The sequence below is a fragment of the Homo sapiens genome, chromosome 6 (assembly GCF_000001405.40).
Source record: "Homo sapiens chromosome 6, GRCh38.p14 Primary Assembly".
Lineage (NCBI taxonomy): Eukaryota > Metazoa > Chordata > Mammalia > Primates > Hominidae > Homo > Homo sapiens.
Window position 1 is genome coordinate 39,561,415 of NC_000006.12, and position 21,684 is coordinate 39,583,098.

Genomic DNA, 21,684 nt, shown 5'->3' on the forward strand with positions numbered 1-21,684 from the left:
GATCTCGGCTCACTGCAACCTCCGCCTTCTGGGTTCAAGAGATTCTCCTGCCTAAGCATCTTGAGTAGCTGGGATTATAAGCACAGGTCACCACGCCCGGTTAATTTTTTTTTTTGTATTTTCAGTAAAGATGGGGTTTCATCATGTTGGCCAGGCTGGTCTTGAACTCCTGACCTCAAGTGATCCGCCTGCCTTGGCTCCCAAAGTGCTGAGATTACAGGTGTGAGCCGCCGCACCTGGCCAACTCAAATCTTTTATGCACAAACATTGTGAAACCTTTGCTTTCCTAACTCAGCAAGGAAACATGATGCTTTGGAGGCTGAAAGCCCAGCTCAGCCAAGAAAGTTTTGAAATGTGCCTAGGGAAGCCATGGGCAGGACAGGGTTACCCAGGGAGTCCCCAGACAGGAACCTGTGTTTACAAGGTTTGGCATGAAGTGGTCTCAGGGCTTCTTACCAGCCATCTGAGCTTCTAGTTGTGTAACTGCTCAATGAATGCCACGTGAGAAATGTTTCTGTGAAATAAGTGATACTGACCGAAACAAGAAGTCTCCTATGTATCTGCTATTCTTCTTTGGCTGATGACAATGAATAATGAAGCAACAAACTTTGGGAAAGTCAGACATTTGACCCAAAGGGTGGCTAATAAGAAAAATTAGGCTCTGTCCTGTGTTTCTTAGTAACAACCTCATAAGTTAGTGGCCCCATGATTACTTGAACTGTGAGGAATTTCATTACTGGCATGAACTCATGAGTTTTATCAGCTGTGGTTACTTCTACATAAACTGTCTGATATTAAAACAAGCACTGGTTAATATACTTCTAACACACCAAAAATCAGTCAAAGACAGTGGTGGATATCTACTTTATGGACCTATTCTCTGTCTTAGTAGAAGCAAGTCTTTAGAATGAAAAGGGGGATACGTTTTCCTACCAGAGGAGACATGAGTCCTTTTCTTGCCTCCTACTGGATATCCCAGAAAATATCATTTCTATAAGACATACCCAGAATGAGGGAACAACAGTGAAGAAAATACAGCATTCCAGATAGGCCTTAGTTTTTGATACCGAACCACGCACACCAATTCTAGAATACCACTTGCATTTTGCCACATAAACTCCTTAGAAGAAGGATTTAAGTTTAAGTCACCACTGTAAACCTCACACCTTTATGGCTCAGGGGTCACAAAAGAGCAGATCTTGAGACAGACCAAACAGGATTCAAATTCTGACTATGCATCTAGTTAGCTGAATGTTATTTGCCTCATGAGGTTACTGGGAAAATTATATTAGACTACATATATAAAAAGTCTAATATAAAATGTCTAATCCAATGCCTACTGGCAAATGCTCAATAAATGGCATTTATTTATACCATAATTATGAACATTTGCTGAATGATTTGATTATAACATGAAAAACACTATGAGGTAGAGAATATTTCATGTCTGTACTTTAACATAATTTTAAATGTCTTTATTTTGCCTGATCATAAAGTAATGCATGTTCATTGCAAAATGTATTTAGAAAATAGAGAAGAAAGGCTGGGTGTGGTGGCTCACACCTGTTGTAATCCTAGCACTTTGGGAGGGCAAGGTGGGCAGGTCACTTGAGGTCAGGAGTTCGAGACCAGCCTGGCCAATATGGTGAAACACCATCTCTACCAAAAATACAAAAATAAGCCAGGTGCAGGGGTGCGCACCTGTAGTCCCAGATACTAGGAAGGCTGAGGCAGAAGAATCGCTTGAACCCAGGAAGTGGTGGTTTCAGTGAGATCGCGCCACTGCACTCCAGCCTGGGTGATAGAGTGAGGGAGGCCCTGCTGCAAAAAGAAAAGAAAATTTAGAAGACAAAAGATTACTCCATCCTGGAACCCAGAGATAATACTGTAAACTTTAGGCGTTTATCTTTCCAGACTTGTTTGTAAACACATATATACACATATATTTATCATCTATGTACATAGCATATACATACATGTGTATTTTTCATCACAAAAGTGAGATCAGAATATTTTATAAAACTAACAGTATAGTTTAGACATATTCCCAGATCAATATGTAGATACATGTATATATATGTAGATAATATATGCATATTATTTATATATGTATGTCTTCATTGACATGGATAACTGTTGCGTTATGTTCCATAAATGTACCATAACCCAATTCTCTATTATAAATAGTTTGTGATAAATATCTTTGTATCTGTGTCCTTAGGGACAAATTTCTAGAAGTAAAATTGCTGGACCTGAAAGCACACTCAGTGAAAGAGTTTGTATTAATGCTTTTCAGGGCTGCCCAGCAAGTGGTAACATGAAAAAAATTTTACAAAGGACTTGCCCCAGGCCTCAGGAACAGGCTTCCCTGTCTGTCACTGGCCTCATTCACTCTACTAGCTGTGTAAGAGCTCATTATACCCTCACCAACTCAGGGTCTCATCGCCTTTTTCATTTTTACCAAAAAGGTTGGCCAAAAATTGCACCTCATTTTAATTTGCATTTCTTTGATAATTAACCAGTTGTTTCTTGATGGTTACTTGCATTCTCCAAACTTACAGGAAAAGTTAGACTATCAGGGAACATAAGAAAAAGTGGCACGCAGGAAAAAGAGGAAACTTGTGGCTGCCAATTTCAATTCAGGGTTTCAGACTAAATAGACAAGTAAGTATACAGTCCTGTACTCTGCCCAACACATGCTAGTTGACTGATCTGGAAAGCACACTGATGAGCAAAGCAGCTGAGAAGCTCTAATAGCAGGAGGTGGGCTCATGAAAAAGAAGGGGAAATCTGATTTCTCCAGGAAATTGTGGAAATGATACAACAGGCAGTAGCTACCTTGACCATAATAATGACAAATTTTTGAGGATGTGGCAAAAGTCGTAAGTATGCTCAGTTAATGATAAACACAGAGGGAACCACTGGGGAAATTGGGTTTGAAGGATGGGAATGAGAATAAAGAGTACTTTGAGGAATAGAGTAGAAAAATATGCAGTCTTAAGTTATCACTGAGTTTAGCTTCTTAGAGTTAGGTTTCAAGAACTAGGACTAATTATTTGCTAGGCAATCAGGGCAGGCTGAGATCAGTCCTTGGGCTGTCTTGGGGAATGTTTGTCTTTTTGCCTATAAGGATATAAAGGCAGGCAATACAGCCAAGCTTCTACAAAAGAGCCTGTGAACACCAGAGGCAAAGGTGAATGCTCAAGCTAGGGTTAATATGAAGAGGAAATGGGGGATAGTTTCATGAGGTATCTTACATTTTATCTTGGTGTGCTTTTGCTGTAAGTTGGATGTATACTGCGAACACAAATTCATGTGCTATTTGGAGTCAATGCTCCATTATGTTGTGCCCAACTAGAAGGCTCTGCCAAACTACCATTTTTTAATAGGTGTAAAATTTAAAAGAAGTAGAATTTATTCCAATGCTTAGCTGAATACGAAGATAATACCATTTCACAGACCAATGAATAACACGAATTATCCTTATTCCATTTGGAAGCATTGTCTACTTTATCAGCACTAGGAAATCCTACACTGGGGTTCCTTAACAAAATGAAAACTTTGGATTTTTCTTACAAGTTCTCAAATCTTTATCTGAATGTCAGAGGGACAAGTATCCATATTGTACTGAGAAGAGAGCTGAAAAATAAAAGCAAAGTGTCTAATTCTAGATTTGGTGGCAGTTCTGAGAGAGCGTAGGCTTGCTTTGACATTGCATATGGACAATTCTCGAAACGTCATTTATTTTCATTTTATTTTTAAACACTTGATCTATACAGACAGTTATTTGGATAATTTTGCAGTAAGTTCTTTGTGCTCCTGATCTTTATTGCTCATTTTGTATATGATCATTTACTTGCCTTAATTTTAATTTTTATTATTCTTAATAGCAGATGCCATGCTTCCTCATATGGTCTTTCTAGGCAGGCACCAGGCTTTATGATTCTTCTGCTTCTTTGACAGCTCTAGCAAAGTACTGCTGGTGCTCAATAATCCTCAAGGACTGATAATTAAGGCCTCAGGACAGATCCAAATCTCCATTTTCCGCAAGCCCAGGGAATCAAACAGGAGGATAAATCTCAATACCTCCTCTTCCAAGTCTCAGGTATGAAGCTAAGACAAACTGTTCTCTCTGAACTCTCTTTAGCCCACAGGTTTGTAAGCAAATGAGATAAATGAGAATATACACCCAAAGGTTAAGTTCTTCACTAATACAAAAATTTGGCACCACCTCCTACCTCAAAACAAAGCAAAACAAAACAGGTGAACAAATGAAATCCTTCTCAGTATCAACAATAACAACAAATCTCAATTCATCTTGCCCATTTATAAGACTGTGTGATATTCACAATTTCATAAAACATTTGAGTATTTTTAGTACAACTGTTATACAGATGTTGAAATGCTAAATTCAGAAAATGGAAAACAGGAGGTTTCGTTGACATGTCCAGTTTTGAAAGAACAGAGAGTTCAAAATAAACACAACTAGGCAGTACCTGAAAGAAGCATTAAGGTATTAAAATAAAGTATCCCTGCTGAACTTCTACAAAGAGATGCAGAGAATTCCACCTGGCATGAATCCTGAAGAAGAGGGTGAAAGAGAAAACAGGGGCCTGGATTCCACATCTCGATGTTGGACATAACATTTACAAGTCCCTTGCAAAATCATCTAGGGGAAAAAGTCTTCACCACCCTCACTCAAGCCCAAAGTGGCTGCCTTTCACTTCTGGCATGTTTCTCATGCACTCAGATATGAGTATGTGCATATACATGTTGCTTTCTTTTTCCTGTCTGTCTGTATCTTTTAGAAAGTCTACAATGAGTACATATTACTTATCCACTTATATATATTACATCATATAAACACACACATTTGCAAATTTTTAAAAAAATCATCACTTTATTTTAAATAAAATGTAATGTTTATGCATCAGCTCTTTTTATGATTCAGGCTGCTACTTTACTTTTGAATTTCCAAATATCTTAAAGGTTTCGGCAAACATCTCCTATTCAGGGAGTATGTGGAACTCTGTTATGGGTAAGAGTGTGGACAGTAAGATGCAAAGCAAATAGCTCCAGTTTGGAAGCATTTTATGGACATTCCATTCTGGCAATTTATAGTTTTTGTTTTGTTTAGCCTTTTAGATAAGCAGTCTTATATCAACTGTCTAAGAAAAGCACCACTTTGAAATGACTAATTAACAGTATGCAATATTACAGTCCAAATATACAAAAATCATACAAATGTTAATGATGAAAATAATTTGAAGATTCCAGAAGCAGATGTAATTTAGATCTCAAAACCAACTACATATATTGCACAATAAATTGGTATATGCCAAGGGAGAACATTTGTTTTTAATTAGCTGTGAAATTTAGTATAAAAGTAGAGTAAGAAAAGCATTTTTTCCAAGGTTCATTAATTAAATGAAACATTGTTTTTCTGTCACTTGGAGGTGTAAAATCAGCAAGTGACATTAATTCTTTTAAGAATGACCTTTAATTTTCTGTAGAAATTTTAGTAAATACAGCCAGGTAAAAATAACCAAAAAAAATCACTTGTAATTCCAGTAACAATTTTATAGTTTTCTTTTCGGGCACTTTTTCTTCCTGTGTGCATGCATGAGTGTATGTTCTAAAGAGGGTCATTAAAACATGATTTGCTTCTTTGTTTTCCAGTAGAGAAGCTTGAAAAGACTTCTATAAATGAAGTAGATTCCTCAGCAATAATAAAAATTGTATCAAGGAATCATAGTAACAGGTAACACTGATGGGGTGCTTGTGGGCCTGGCATTGTGTTCAGTACATAACACGAATTACCCCATCAATCCTCGTAAGAGCCTTGTGATGTGGGTGCCATTACTACTCTCACACAAAAGATGAGTAACAGATGCATGGAGATGATATAAATGCTCATGCATGATGAAAATATTGAGGACTACAGAAAAGGCATGACCATCTTAAGATAGCTAGTCTCCTTAGACTAGGAGAGTCAAGATGAGAATTCAAGCCTCTTAACTCTCAGTCTATTCATATAAAAGTTCCCTGCCTGATCTTAGTGACTAAACAGTTTAGAAAATAGTTGTCACAAAATTCTGAGTATTTCCAGTAATTCCTCAGTCATTCATCCTCATGAACTGAAATCCACAAGGCCTAGCATCCAGTGGATACCAAATCAATGACACAGAAGTGATTTCTTTTTTTTTTTTTTGAGACGGAGTCTCGCTCTGTCGCCCAGGCTGGAGTGCAGTGGCGCTATCTCGGCTCACTCCAAGCTCCGCCTCTTGGGTTCACACCATTCTCCTGCCTCAGCCTCCCGAGTAGCTGGGACTACAGGCACCCACCACCGCGCCTGGCTAATTTTTTGTATTTTTAGTACAGACGGGGTTTCACTGTGTTAGCCAGGATGGTCTCGATCTCCTGACCTCGTGATCCGCCCGCCTTGGCCTCCCAAAGTGCTGGGATTACAGGTGTGAGCCACTGAGCCTGGCCTGGGACACAGAAGTGATTTCTATCAACAGAGGCTGGTCCTGGGGACCCTGAGTAGAGATCCATGTGATTTGAAATGAATGGTTCATGAAAGAAGCCAGAGGGGGCCTGAGCGCCAGGCAGAGTATTCACTAATTCATGCAACAAATATTTACTACTGAGAGCCCATGTGCTAGGTACTGCTTTAGGTTCTGGGGCAGGCACAGTGCTGAACAACTCAGACAACGTCCTGGTCCTCATGCAGCAAAGCAGGGAGAGATTGACAAAGGACAATGAAACATTAAACAGGACACTGCTGCTATAAACGAAAATAACTCTGTATACAGGGGGTAACGAGTGACGGGGGAAGGTATATTCTAGATCAAGTGGCCCAGGAAGGTCTTTCTGATCTGAGACATTTGATCAAGGAAGTGAAGAAGGCGTTTTCAGGGAGAAATGGTGAGGAGACCAGAATGAAAGAGATGCTTGCAGGGAACGGGGTCTTAGCAGTTGCCACAGGCTAGGCCATTTAGGGCCTTTGCATTTGGGACCTGGGTCATAGGAGGGGTTCTGAATAGTGAGGTGTGGTTAATATCATTTGAACAGTTTCATCCATTACAAGAAATTAGGCACAAACTTTCTTGAGATTTTTCATTTTCTTTTCTTTTCTTTTTTTTTTTAATTTGAGATGGAGTCTTGCTCTTGTCACCCAGGCTGGAGCACAGTGGCGCAACCTGGACTCACTGCAACCTCTGCCTCCCGGGTTTCAGTAATTCTCCTGCCTCAGCCTCCTGAGTAGCTGGGATTACAGACACCCACCATCATGCCCGGCTAATTTTTGTATTTTTAGTAGAGATGGGGTTTCACCATGTTGGCCAGGCTGGTCTTGGACTCCTGACCTCAGGTGATCCACCTGCGTCAGCCTCCCAAAGTGCTGGGATTATAGGCATGAGCCACTGAGCCTGGCCGAGATTTTTCATTTTCTAATAAGCAGTCTATATAGGACAGAGTTCAGTCATGTTTCAAACAATCTTCAATAGATGGTTTAGACTCTTCTGTAGGCCTTTCTCTCTCTCTCTCTCTCTGTCTCTCTCCACTCTCTCTCTCTCCAGGTCTACTTCTCATCTTTGAGGTTCATAGTTTCCTGAAATCCACTCCTCCTGCCTTTACAGTGAAGATTCTTGCAGAGTGCAATCCGGAGGGCTTGTCATGTCACAGAACTTGTGGAGGATGAGTCATGATTTTGAAATGTTTTTAATAGTGGTTTTATAACTAAAACCACTTTGGAGGCCAGTGACAATAAACTGAATATAAAAAGGATAAAGCACTATTGGTCCAGAATTAAGTACTGACAAGAGACTGTCCCTAAAAGACTGGTTTGGTATCTAATTTTCACTAGGACTGTATTAACTCAAATACTGTAGAATATTTATTTATTTTATTTGTTTGTTTCATTTGATTTTTAAAATAGTCTGAGGATCACGTTACAAGACATATAGTCATTGGGATGGTATATATCAAATTATATGAGATGGTTTTGAAAAATTATTCTGTCTTACGCTTTTTGGAATAAGTTATCAAATTTTAGGCTCAAGAGAGCCACTGTACCTATAGTTGAAATTTATTCAACTTCAAACATATTGAAGAACTAAATCAAATTAAACTTTTGTTTGATTAGCCAATAAAAAAATTTGAACTGCAACTTAAATATGGTGGAAATGGCTTCTCCTAGAGTTACCTTTAAATGCTAACTTTCAAAGGATGAAAGCATTGATGGGTGTTTTGTTGTCACTTCCTATATAAAATCTTTCCTCTCTGTTTCCTCCCCTTCACAGAACACTCCTCCACCTCCATCTCTACCAGCTGTCTATCACAGCAGGTGGGCATCAGCAAAGAGCGTGTGTGTCTGGACATCTTCCCCTGTCTGTGGCACACCACCTTCCTGAGGGATTATTTAGTTTGTCTCTGAGCCTCCCAGCTCCTAACACAGTGCCCAACATGGTCCTGTTAGTACTCAGTCAGTGTTTATCCACTGGAAAAAATGAATACAGGTATAAATTTGTTTTATTTCAAAGTGCGATTTATTTGATGGATAAACGAGCATTTAAGACTCTTCCTTTAGGCATATTTATTTGCATTTCAATATAAAGCTTGGACATCAATGAAGCTTTTATTAGTACAAATATGTTCTTTTGAAACAAATTCTGTGTGGGTTTTATAATACTATGTGTTTGGATTTAAACTATATTTAGTCTTAAATTATTTAATGTTATAATTACTTTTTAAAAGAAATGCCCCAAACCGATTGGACTTGGAGTATGAGAAAAAGGACAGAACCACAAGAAACTTCTAACTTTCTGGCTTGGGCAACAGTACAGCTTGGAGAGACATTGACTGATGGAGGATACAGTGGTAGAGACCAGGTCTGGGGAAAAATGGAGAGGAATTCAGTTTGGGGCATGTTGAGTTCAGGGCCACCTGTTAGGTAGGAGCTCCTTTTCTCTTCATTGTTAAATATCCAGTGACTGGAATATTTAATTCCATGTAAAAATACACTGGGGAGGAGATGTGGTGATTGATGTGGCTAAGTGAAAGGATGAATTCAGTTGGCAATCCACCTATAGTAAGCTTGCACGTAGGAAGATTATGATCCTATGGATACTAATTGATAGAGTTTGGCTGTGTCCCCACTCAAATCTCATCTTGAATTGTAGTTCCCATAATCCCAATGTGTCATGGGAGGGACCTGATAGGAGATAACTGAATCATGGGGGTGTTTACCCCCATGCTGTTCTCTTGATAATGAGTAAGTTCTCACGAGATCTGATGGTTTTATAAGAGGCTTTTCCACTTTTGCTGGACACTCACTCCATCCTGCCACCCCATGAAGAAGGTGCCTGCTTCTCCTTTGCTTTCTGCCATGATTGTAAGTTTCCTGAGGACTTCCAAGCCATGCTAAACTGTGAGTCAATTAAACTTCTTTTCTTTATAAATTACCCAGTCTCAGCAGTTCTTTCTAGCAGTATGAATACAGACTAATACACTAATTATTACATACCTCAGGTTAGATCAGAGAATTTCCTAACTGACTCTTGGTCTTGACCTCAGTATTATATCAACTCACTACCAGTCACCCTAAAATTTAAATCATCACTTTTAACCTTCCTCTGAAGTTCCAGAATTCAATCTGTGTATTTCTTCGTCATACACAAAAACTGAGCCTTTCTTATCTTTCCTTTCCCAATTTTTCCACCTCTTGATAACCTGTTTTACAGTCATAAGTTATCACTATTTTCCCTTTTTTACCCCTTTTATATGTGAAACCATCACTTCTATTGATTCTTCATTAACAAGATCTCTCAGACTTTTCTCTTCTCTGTTCTTATCGTCACCATTCAAGTCTCTTCCCTCATCCTCACTCCCAAACTGATTATAATGTTTTTCTGATTTCTCACTCCAGCCAATTCTGTCCAATTCTATGAGAGGAGTAATCTTAAAAAAGACGTCATCACATAAATTCTTTCATGGTCACCCTGCTAAAGCTGCAACTCCTGTTTTATTTTTCCTTTTCAGCTTCTGCAATCTGAAATGCTCTATATTTTAGTTATCTTGTGTACTGTCTCTCCACAAGAATGTAAGCTCCATGAGGGCAAGAACATTATTTTGTTTATTCCCATATTTCCCGCACCTAAAACAGTGCCTAGCACAAGGAGAGAGCAAAATAAACATTCATTAAATGAATGAATGAATTTAATACTCTCAGACCACAATTCATTTCCTAGATACCATTAAGGAAGATACCAGCTCCTCTGCATATGGTATTCATAACCCACCATGAGGTCACCATTCATCTGTCTAGTCCTATTCTTCAATTCCTCCATGAGAACTTCAGGCTCCTGCCAGGCCAGTTTCAATTCAGATTCTCATCAGTTAGTGTTTGCTATATGCAAACTCCTATGTTGGTCTCCTGCTATTCTCTACACTCCTTACCCCACCCCTCCCACCCTCTCACATTCCCTTTCAGAATCTTTGTTAGAAGGGTGCCTTCTTCCTCTTGACATCCTTTAGAAATTTTTCAGCTTACTCCATGGGTGAAATCTTCAGTGACTTCCCTCATTTCTGAATTCCTACATAATTATTTTGCTTTTTATTATCATAGTGAGTAAATAATGTATTAACCATATGTAATAAACTGCTATTACATTTTTAAACATGGAACTGAAAAGAGTGCATAGATCACATTTGGTTTAACTCTCTCACCTTACACATAAGAAACCTTAAGTCTGCAGAGTCATTAAAAAACTAATATGGGTAGAATAAAAACTAGAATTAAAGTTAAAATTATCAGCATCCATTTATTCTCTCCATTAATATATTCCTTTGTTCTGTGTTTTATATATACATATACATGTGTATGTATTTGTGTGTATATATGTGTCTGTAAGTTTTCCTTAATAAAACTGTAACTCCTTGGAATTATTTTTTGTAATTTTTTGTATCCTATACCTCTAACCCCCCACCAAAGCACCTATTAAAATGATTAGCGTCTAGTAGGTGCTCAATAAATTCAGCTTGAAGGATTAACTGCAAGAAGACCTCTTTTTCTGTTAGAAAAGGATCCAGATGTTTAGAGGTATCCAGACACTTTGGGGCAAGAGTTAATGAGGTCCAATTCAATTTCATCTCGGAAGTGAAACGTTGCTAACAGAAAATATTTGACTCGCTTAGATTTGGGTCAGGATACAATGCTTCCAAGCCTAGCCAAAGATCTACAGGCTTTTTTTTTTTTTTTTTTTTTTACCAAAGAAACAATTGTATATGTGTTTAGAGACTCAATCACAATCAAATCTTCACCGAAGAAGTTCTGTATACATTAACTTGGCTATACAGCCTTTATCCAGCTGTCTCTTTTCAAATATACCCAGCCACCCCACCCCCCAAAAAAGATGTAAACTAAAAATATCATAATAACTGGAGGCTGACATCTGAAATCCTCTTAAATTAAAGCATCCAAGTCCATGCAACAAATATTTACATTAAGCATAGAAATGCTGGGAAATGGCTCAAAAAATCTGATAGGGCTAGTCATTAACAGACATCTTCAAACTGCACAATTCATACTAGATAAAATACCGTATCTACTAAATATCTGCTTTCTGATATTCTTCAGAGAATGTCTGATGGTAATATCCTTATGCCATGCCAATCAACATAAACCTGCAGGAATCTGCAGGACAGAGAAGTAGAAGAGGATGAGAGCAATTCTGCCACTGTGTCCTGACAAGCTCTGGGACACATACTCTCTCAGTACCATCATCCCCCTCCTGCCTGTCTCCTGGAGAGTTTGGGCGCAATAAGAGGACTGAAGCTGATTCACATTCCTGAATAAATATCCAGGGGCCCTAGAACACAGAGCAGTACAGACTAATGGTGTTAAATAGCAGTAGCACTTTAGGGGTAAATTTTAATTTATCACTTTCATTTTAAGATGATAAAAGACTCTTAAGTCCGTTGAAATGTAGGTTGTACTAATGTTCAATCTAGGTAATTATGGGAAACATAATGATAACAATTTAACATAAACAATAAAAACAGAACACATTGTCTGAATAATCTGCACTGTCAGTTGTGAACGAGTGCCAAATTTACTACTTTTGTGAAACTGTATGATTTGCTTTGGCAGGGTGATTTTCGTTTGCAACATTTGTTCTCCCTAACTGCTAGTCAGAAATCACTAATAAGACACAATGATACATAGCACACTTCTCTTGACAGCAGACAAGTCATTTCATTGGGAAATGCTGAAGTTTATTTAGTAGCACGTGAACTAGTTTTACATGATTCCTGAGCCCAAAAGTAATTATTGATATCTCTGCATTCTCGTTGTATTTTGTTTATATCTTCTCATAATGTTTATATATCACATCATTACTTGTGCTCATGTCTGTCACCACCACTAAATTATGAGTTTCTTGAGAGCAGGATCTAGGTTTTGCTCATATTTGTGCCCCACTCAGGGCCTAACATAGAGTTTTGTGAATGTTAGATAAATAATGAGTGTTAAATGAATGAACAAATAAACTAATTGCACAAAAAACTACTGGCAACCCTCCATACTGTCTATAGGATCTGTTGAGGTTGACATTTGTATATTTCTCATCTATAGATCAACAGAAATCAATCCAGGATCTATAAGTCCTTCAGTATTTCAATCTATTGTCACAATTTTAGTTTTCATTCTATCGCCCAAACTCTTGTGAAAGAAAAATTTAATTGTTATTTGACTGCTATGCCTTCTAAACAGAAAAATTCATTTATGGAATACATGGCAAGTTAGTAAAAGATATAATATAAATATTATACAATAGTAAGAATCATAAAGAAGATATAACAAAATTTGCTCATTCTTATTGCATATACTTTACTGCATTTTTCTTTTGTTAAATTACAGTCTGTGGTCATTCCTTGAGAAAGGATCTAGGGTGCTATCCTTTCGGTCTGAAAGTTTGCATGTCGGCAGAATGCCTTTTTTCATCTTCACATTTGAATACAAATTTGGCTAGATACAGAAAAATACATTTAAAGTACTTTTTGTTTGTTTCCTTAGCACTAGATGTTCTTGTTTTCAGAATTATTGATGAGAAGTTTGCTCTAAATCAGATTATTGATTTAGAGTAATTTTTTTTCCTCTCTGGTAACTTTCATGATTCTTTTCTGTATTTTGTGGCTCTAAAAATTTTCTACAATATGACTATATGGCTTAGCACTTGGTAGCTTTTCATTCTGAAGTTGCATGTCTTATTTTTTTAGTTCTAGGAAATTCTGAGATATTATTTCTTAACTATTGGCTCCTCTGCATCATCTCTATTTTCTCCTCACCAACACCTATTCATCAGATATTGGTAAATATAGAGCTATTCTCTATGACACTTTTCTTTTAACCTTTCTCTTTATCCTTTTATCTCATATTCTGGAAGAAATCCTTAGCCCTGATCTTCCTAGCTCACCAATCTGCCCCTCGGTTTTTTCATTCTGTTATTGAGCCATCTGTTAAGTTCTTAATGACAACAACTATATTTTTTCATTTCCAAGATTTCCCCTTGATTTTGCTTCATAAAAGTCAACTACTGTTCTTGTTTTATAGATGTAATACCATATTCTATTTCTCTAAAGATATTAATCACTTTGGGTAATGTTTAGTTCTAAGGCCCTATGGGTTGTACAATCTTCTTGTTCTTATCATTCTCAGACTTTTGGCCTCATATTTCTAATTCCAGCCACACCTGAACCATGGGCTCATCTTTCCTGGACTCTCAGGTATCTCAGCTTGAGCAGCTTGTCTGGGATGAGGGGCTGAAGCAGCTGCCAGTGCTTGAGCGTCTTCTTATTTTTCTTTTTTTTTTTTTGAGATGGAGTCTCACTCTGTTGCCCAGGCCGGAGTGCAGTGGCGCGATCTCGGCTCATTGCAAGCTCTGCCTCCCGGGTTGACGCCATTCTCCTGTCTCAGCCTCCCGAGTAGCTGGGACTACAGGCGCCCGCCACCACACCCGGCTAATTTTTTTGTATTTTTAGTAGAGATGGGTTTCACCATGTTGGCCAGGATGGTCTCGATCTCCTGACTTTGTGATCCGCCCGCCTTGGCCTTCCAAAGTGCTGGGATTACAGGCGTGAGCCACCACGCCCGGCTGCTTCCTCTTATTTTTCGTGAGAATAGGGGATGGGTAAATAAAGCTAAAGACAGCAACTGGTCTTCAGAACTTCTCTGGGCTCTCTGTCAGCTACCTGGGGCCCTTCCCTGTCTCTCCATTCTTAACACTGCAGAGGAGGAGGGCTCAGGAGTTCACAGGACAAACTGCCCCACTACAACAGCTCTACCAAATGCTCATTGGCTGTTCCTAGCCCTCTCCTGCTCCAGGGCTCCACACTTCCAGACGTGGAGCAATTATTATGCTGCACCCATGCCTTAGTCTATCCTTTACTCTTGTCCATCTCAAGTCCCACCTCTCGGTCCCTCAGGAATTCCTTGAAGTCTCTAGACCATCAAGAAGTCGGCTTCCTGTTTTTAGGTATGACGAGAGATCCATGTGTTTATCCCAGTGCTATAATTCTCTAGATTTGATACAATAGAGGGAACCTGCAGCACACTCAGTCTGACATACTGAAACCACCATATTCAAAATCTTACCCTTAAACTAAGCCTCCTGAAAAACATACAGGATACACAGGAATTCGCAGAAACACTGGTACTGATTTTTTTTTCTTTTTTTGAGATGGAGTTTCACTCCATGCTGGAGTGCAATGGTGCGATCTCGGATCACTGTAACCTCTGCCTCCCGGGTTCAAGCGATTCTCCTGCCTCAGCCTCCCGAGTAGCTGGGATTACAGGCATGCACCACCACACCCGGCTAATTTTGTATTTTTAGTAGAGACGAGGTTTCTCCATGTTGGTCAGGATGGCCTCGAACTCCTGACCTCAGGTGATCCACCCGCCTCAGCCTCCCAAAGTGCTGGGATTACAGATGTGAACATTGGTAGTGATTGAATATGTTGCTTTTAGACTCAGTTTCCCCCTTCCCATCTTTGACTCTGCATCACAAGAAACTACATTCCTAGACTTTTTTAGCAACTGGCTTCTGGATAACTTCAGCCAACAGGAAGCACTGGTGGAAGACTGAAAGGGGGACGTGAGAGAAGCCAAGGATGTTCCTCTGGACAGTGTCTCGACTAGCACCTGTGGCTCTTCAGTGGCTGCAGCGGCTGTCACACAGCACTCAGTATGGTCTAGCTTCTGCCTGTCAGCTCCTGCTCTTAGGTTCTGGTATCATCACCTTCTCCTGTTGTCCCTGCAATCCTAGGGGCATAGAAGCTCCTGCTGTTACTGATCTCTGGGGTGTTGCTTCATTTCCTGTTTAGTTTCTCAGCAAAACTGTCTCCTGGCAGTCAATTTCCTATATTAAATTCCTTTTGTTAAAAGGCCTAGACTGGTTCTGTTTTCTTGGCTGGATCCTGACTTGTAGATCAAAATTCTGAAGAGACATTTTCAAAGACAATAATTGGTAATTCCCTTCTTTGAGGGGAAAGGAACACCATAGTGAAGATAGTTTGAGGTTAGTGTTCTCAATATCTATGATATCCCAAGTTGTTTGAAGAAATGACATAAAACTTTTTTTAAAGTGAATTTTTGTCAATATGCTTCCCCTTAATTGCAAATATGCCACAAAGCAGTCTTGCAAGAAAAGCCTTAGGGGCCTATCATGTTATTAAATACAGTGTTCTGGAATTAGGAAACACTACCCCGTAGGAGTGAAAGCTTTGACTATAACAGAAACCTTGCTGAGGCTTCTCAAGCTTTAGACCTACCTCAGGGGCAGCTATGAAATAGTTTAAAGACAACCACTTTTATTCTCTCTCTAATTTACCATTTTCTCCATTGAGGGAGGGTTAGGTGAAATTATAGTATATCTTTAGAAATCCTATGTAGCTCTATTTCTCATTTGGAAATAGAGAATGCCATGGCCTTCAAAGCCTGGCCCATTCTTACTACCCAACACATGCTTAATAAGCAGCACAGAAACAAGAAAGCCCACTGTGATCAGAGAGAGAATGAGAGCCACATTGCACCACTGATATGCCATATGGCTGCAAATCTAAAGGCTCTGAAAGATGCCGCAGTTGTATAAAGCCCTGAATACCTGCTTTCATTCCCAGTTAGAGTGTTCGAGCTATAATATATGGGCCATCCATTTATTAAAAGAGAGAGCTTACTTTGGCATGGGATAAATTGGTGCTTGTGGCAAGATGCTGTTTAATACAAAGGATGTCTCTTGAATTCCTTTCAGATCTGAGACCCACAGCTCAAGAGTGTTTGGTGTGTGTGTTTTAAAATTGCATGACTATTATACAATTCCTTTTCTTCAGCTGGCATGAGAAGGATATTCCCATCCTCTCTTTGCTCTGTTCTTTACTTCCTCAAAGCTGAGGCGGCAAAAACACTGCCAGCCTTATCCAGCTTTTCATGGAAAGCCGCCACTCTTAACTGGCGCCTAAATGCAATTTCAGACTGTCCCAGGAGACCTTCATGCTTTGAGGTGAATTCATAACATTAGGGCCAACAAAGAAGTTAACACAAACTTTCACTGTTAAAGAAAAAGAAAAAAAAGTCTGCAGACTTACTGAAGGAGCTCTGCTTCTGTGAGTGCCTCTGTCCTCTGCTCCCCAGTGACCATGGCCAGTTCATCCTTCAGTTCCTGGATTTCCTTTTGTAGGCGTTTAATCACCTACAAATGGCAAAGAGGCAGAGAAAATGTCAACTTCTCATTAAGGTGAACTTGGTGACAGAGAACATACAGCTCTTAAAATTATGGACAATTTTATGGACACAAAAATGGGTAATGGTATAAAAAGCCAGCTTTGTTAAATCTTAACGTTTTGTCAAAATAGTTCTAGATTTTTTTTTTTTTTTTTTTTGGAGACAGAGTCTCGTTCTGTCACCCAGGCTGGAGTGCAGTGGCATGATCTTGGCTCACTGCAACCTCCGCCTCCCGGGTTCAAGCGATTCTCCTGCCTCAGCCGAGTAGCTGGGACTACAGGCGCATGCTACCATGCCCGGCTAATCTTTTGTATTTTTTTTAGTAGAGACAGGGTTTTACCATGTTAGCCAGGATGGTCTCAATCTCCTGACCTCGTGATCCACCCACCCTGGCCTCCCAAAGTTTGAGTTTACAGGCATGAGCCACCTCGCCCAGCCTCTATAATTTTTTTTAAAACAAATAAAACATTACTGATGTAACTGGAACCCCCTATTGGTATCCCCCCTCCGTCCTTCCTGGGGTGATCACTGTACTGCATTTAAGGGGTCTGATTTCTCTGTGTGTTTTCATACATTTACTCCATATGTATGCATGTACTCATAAATAATGTAGTGTATCATTTTGCATGCCCTAAACTTTATGTAAATGTTACATTACTGCATGTAATTGCAACTTGTTTTTGTCCTTCACATTATGTTTTTAAGCTTATTTACATTGCTTCATGTGGCTCTAGTTCATTAATTTTCATGGATATATAGTATTTCAGTAAAGGAATATATCAGAATCTATTTGTCTCCTGTTGATGAACATTTAGGATTTTTACTTTTGCTATTACGAACAGTGTTGCTATGAACATTATGAATCTCTTTGAGCACGTATGTAAGAGTTTCTCTGTAGTGTGCACTTTAGAAGTAGGATTTCCTGGCTGGAGAGTATGTGCATCTTGCCTTTATTATATATTGTTAAATTGCTCTTCAGAGTAGTACAAATTTACATTCCTATCAACTACAGATGTAAGTTCCTGTTTCCACATTTTTGTCACTATGTAATATTGACAGGTACTTTCATTTTGCCAATCTGTTAGGTGTAAAATGATATCTCATTTTAGTTCTAATTTGCATTTTCATGATTATTTGTGCAGTAGGTCATTTTGCATATGTATATTGGCAGTTTGGGTTCTTCCTTGCTCAAATTATTTATTCCCATTCTTGTCCATGTTTCCATTTACTTGTTTTTCCTTTCCTTATTGATTTGGTAGCTTCTTTCTATATTCTGGATGTGAATCCTTCGTTAGTTTTATGCAATGCACCTGTTTTCTCTCAATCTCTGTCATGTTTTTCACTTTGCAGTGTTCTTTTTGTTAAATGAAAGTTCAGAATTTCAATATAATCTAATTAGCACCTTCTTCCTTTATGTGTTGTACTTTTGTGTCATTTGAAAGAAAATCTATCTTATCCCAAATCATAGGAATATATTCTTATATGATCTTTTAAAAGTGTTAAAGGTTTGATTTTCACATTTAGGTGGATTTTACTTTGTATAAGGTATGAAATAGGGATCAAATTTTAATTTATTTTAAATGGCTAACCATACAAGATTTGCTATTATAATTATATAATATGTTTATATATATAAATGTGTCTATTTCTGGGCTATTGGTTAAACACATTTGTTTATTTTACTATATATGGCAATACCACACTAATTTAACTACTAAATCTTAAGAAAGTTGGCATCTAGATAAGATAAGCCCGTTTCATCCTGTTCTTTTCCAAAATAGACTTGGCTATTCTTGGCCATTTGCTCTTCCATGTACATTTTAGACCCAACTTGTCAAATTCTACCAAAGGCTCTCCTCAAATTTTAACTGGAATTATTACATTTAGTTAAAAGGTTAATTTCGTCAGACATCAAATTAATGATATTAAATTATCCCATCCATAAACATGGTATAGCTTTCCACTGATTCCTTTCAATAAGGATCTATAATTTTCTTTTTAAATACCTTACGTGTCTTTAATTATATTTTATATCAGGAATTTAAAAGTTTTTGTTGACACTGTAAATAGAATTTTTATAAAATTATATATTCTAACTGTTGGCTTCTGGCATATAGGAAGGCAACTCATTTTTATGTATGGATTACATACCAAATAATTTTCTGAAACTTTGGGGGTTCTATTTATCATTAAATACTCTTGGATGTTCTATGTAAGCAACATAATTATCTGTAAGTAATGACAGATGTTTTTCTTCTTTTCTAATTCTTATATATCTTATTTCTTGTTATTGTCTCATTTTCCTAGCTAGGACTTCCAAGTTCAATTCTTAAGACATTCCTGTCTTATTTCTTCTAAAATTTCACCTTTAAAATGATGTTTTCAAAGTATGGTTGAATGTTTAATGTGCTCAAACACTTTTTCTGCAACTAGGGATGAAATAATATAATTTCTTTCTTTAAACTCTGAATGTGATGAATCATATTAATTCATGTGATTAGTATTTTAGTATAAACCATCTCAGGCATATAAAATAGTATAAAAGAATACCTTGTACCCACTACTTAGCTTAAGTGAACATCCATGTACCCTGTACTTAAGAAATAGAACATTACAGACCTGTCTGAAGACCTCACCCCTGCATAGTCTTCCCTGAATGAATTCCCCATTACCATTATCCTAAATTTTGTTTTAACTTTTCTCATTTTTTTCTTACAATATACATTGATGCATTCTCTAGTGATAGATTACTTTGAATTCCCAAAATAAACCCAACTAGTTCATGATAGTACATGTCATATTAATAATCTTCCTATCATAATGCAAAATTCCTAAAAGAAAAAAATTAGCAGGCTTGATCCAGCTTTCATCCTTTCTGGAATATTTGGTAGTACTCAAAACTTGAAAGAAAAACACCATAGGATCTGGTCTGTCCTTCCTTCCTTTCTTCCTCTTAGTAGCTTTACTTTCTTTTTTTTTTTTTTTTTTTTTTTGACACAGAGTTTTGCTCTTGTTGCCCAGGCTGGAGTGCAATGGTGCCATCTCAGCTCACTGCAACCTCCGCATTCCAGGTTCAAGCGATTTTCCTGCCTCAGCCTCCTGAGTAGCTGGAATTACTAGTGCCTGCCACCATGCTCGGCTAATTTCTGTATTTTTAGTAGAGACAAGGTGTCACCATGTTGGCCATGCACCTGACCTCAGGTGATCCACCCACTCGGCCTCCCAAAGTGCTGGGATTACAGGCATGAGCCACTGCGCCCGGCCCGCTTTACTCATTTTCTAACTTCTTTTGCTTGGGGATTGTCAGACTAAAGGGGTTATGTAAATTTGAATTTCAAACCTACATGAGGTAGAGCTAGGGTTTCAAATTTTTCAAAGTAGTTTTCAGAAAAACTACTTTTTGTTTTACCTATAGTCCATTTGAAAGCGGACAAGCTGCCCTGACATCTCCATATGGTAGTGGATAGATTTTTTTTTTTATAGTTGTCCCTTTTACTGGTTTTATGTTGGGGAAAAGAGAGGATGTCTTAGGTTCAGCATCCATCTTGCAACATCCCAGGGCTTTAATCTCTATTCCTTTGCTACAACCTCCTTTACATCTCCACTCCAGGACAACTGCAGCCTCAGCTTAGTTTTTGGGCCCTGGAGAATTCCCTTACTTCCTTTCAACCTTACATATGTATTTCAAAGATGCTTAGGTATATAGGTGAGTTTCAGATTATTTGGGCCATATCAACAGGACCAGAAATCCCAAAGAACATGATATTGAGTATTTTGAACATGTCACTGTTCCTAGAATTTTACTGAAATGTATCGGATCATGTGGGTTTTGTTTGCTTCTTTTTTAAAAATATTCTTAGGATCATCAATCTATACAGAATGAAAATCCTGAGATAGTAACTACATTGGCACCCTTCTCTATTAAACTAATATTGATGCCATATTTTCTATTTTTACTAAGGCTTTTAAGTCAAATCTAATACCAAATTATTCTCCTGTCTTATTGAATAAAAATCTCAAAACTAAGCCAAGTTTTTTTGGTTTTGAGATTACTACAGTTATGCCTCCCATCCAATTACTGAAGGAACCCTGGCATTAGAGACATCCTTAGGAGATTTGAGCTCATGCCCAGTCACCACAGGCTCTGGCCTTGTTCATAGTTCTTTTACCACCTTGTCTCTCTGAGGTACCAATACTTTTTTTGTTTTGTTTTGTTTGGTTTGGTTTGGCTTTTTTTGAGATGGAGTTTTGCTCTTATTGCCCAGGCTGGAGTGCAATGGTGCAATCTCGGTTCACTGTAACCTCTACCTCCTGGGTTCAAGCAATTCTCCTGCCTCAGCCTCCGGAGTAGCTGGGATTACAGGCATGTACCTCCACGCCCGGCTAATTTTTTTTGTATTTTTAGTAGAGATGGGGTTTCTCCATGTTGATCCAGCTGGTTTCAAACTCCTGACCTCAGGTGATCCATCCGCCTCAGCCTCCCAAAGTGCTGGGATTACAGGCGTGAGCCACCGTGCCTGGCCTGAGGTACCAATACTTTTAAAGAAAGCAGGGCAAATCCTTATCGGCTGGCTCCATATTTGCCATTAAATTTTAAAAGTAAGACATAGGAAATGCCACCCAAGTTTTGTCTTGAGTGGTTTGTAGGACAAATTCTCAACTGTCATTTGTGCCTCAGACAAGCTCTATACATAAAATGACTGACAGTAATGTCAGTTTTTAGAGGCAATTATAAAAGAGACCAGGAAACAACACTTGTCAATTACCAGATTAATCTGCACCAGGAAGACCTCAACATTTGTTCAATTATCAGCTATTAGCTTTTGATTCCTGATTTCTCTTTTCTTCAAATCTCTCACAGACCTATATCAAACACATAATAATGTTTACCTTTCTTCAAATTCTTC

General features: G+C 38.4%; 1 protein-coding gene across 9 annotated transcripts in view; it reads right to left on the reverse strand.

Moving 5' to 3' along the window:
• KIF6 (kinesin family member 6) overlaps positions 1-21,684 on the reverse strand; it is a 395,419-nt gene that overhangs the window by 231,425 nt on the left and 142,310 nt on the right. For all 9 annotated transcript variants that reach the window (XR_001743238.2, NM_001289020.3, NM_145027.6 and 6 more), the window contains exon 10: positions 16,642-16,745. Coding sequence is in view for 8 of the 9 variants with exons in the window: in NM_001289020.3 (NP_001275949.1) it covers positions 16,642-16,745 (104 nt within the window). In the remaining variant the exon portion in view is untranslated. The remainder of the gene's footprint in view (positions 1-16,641; positions 16,746-21,684) is intronic.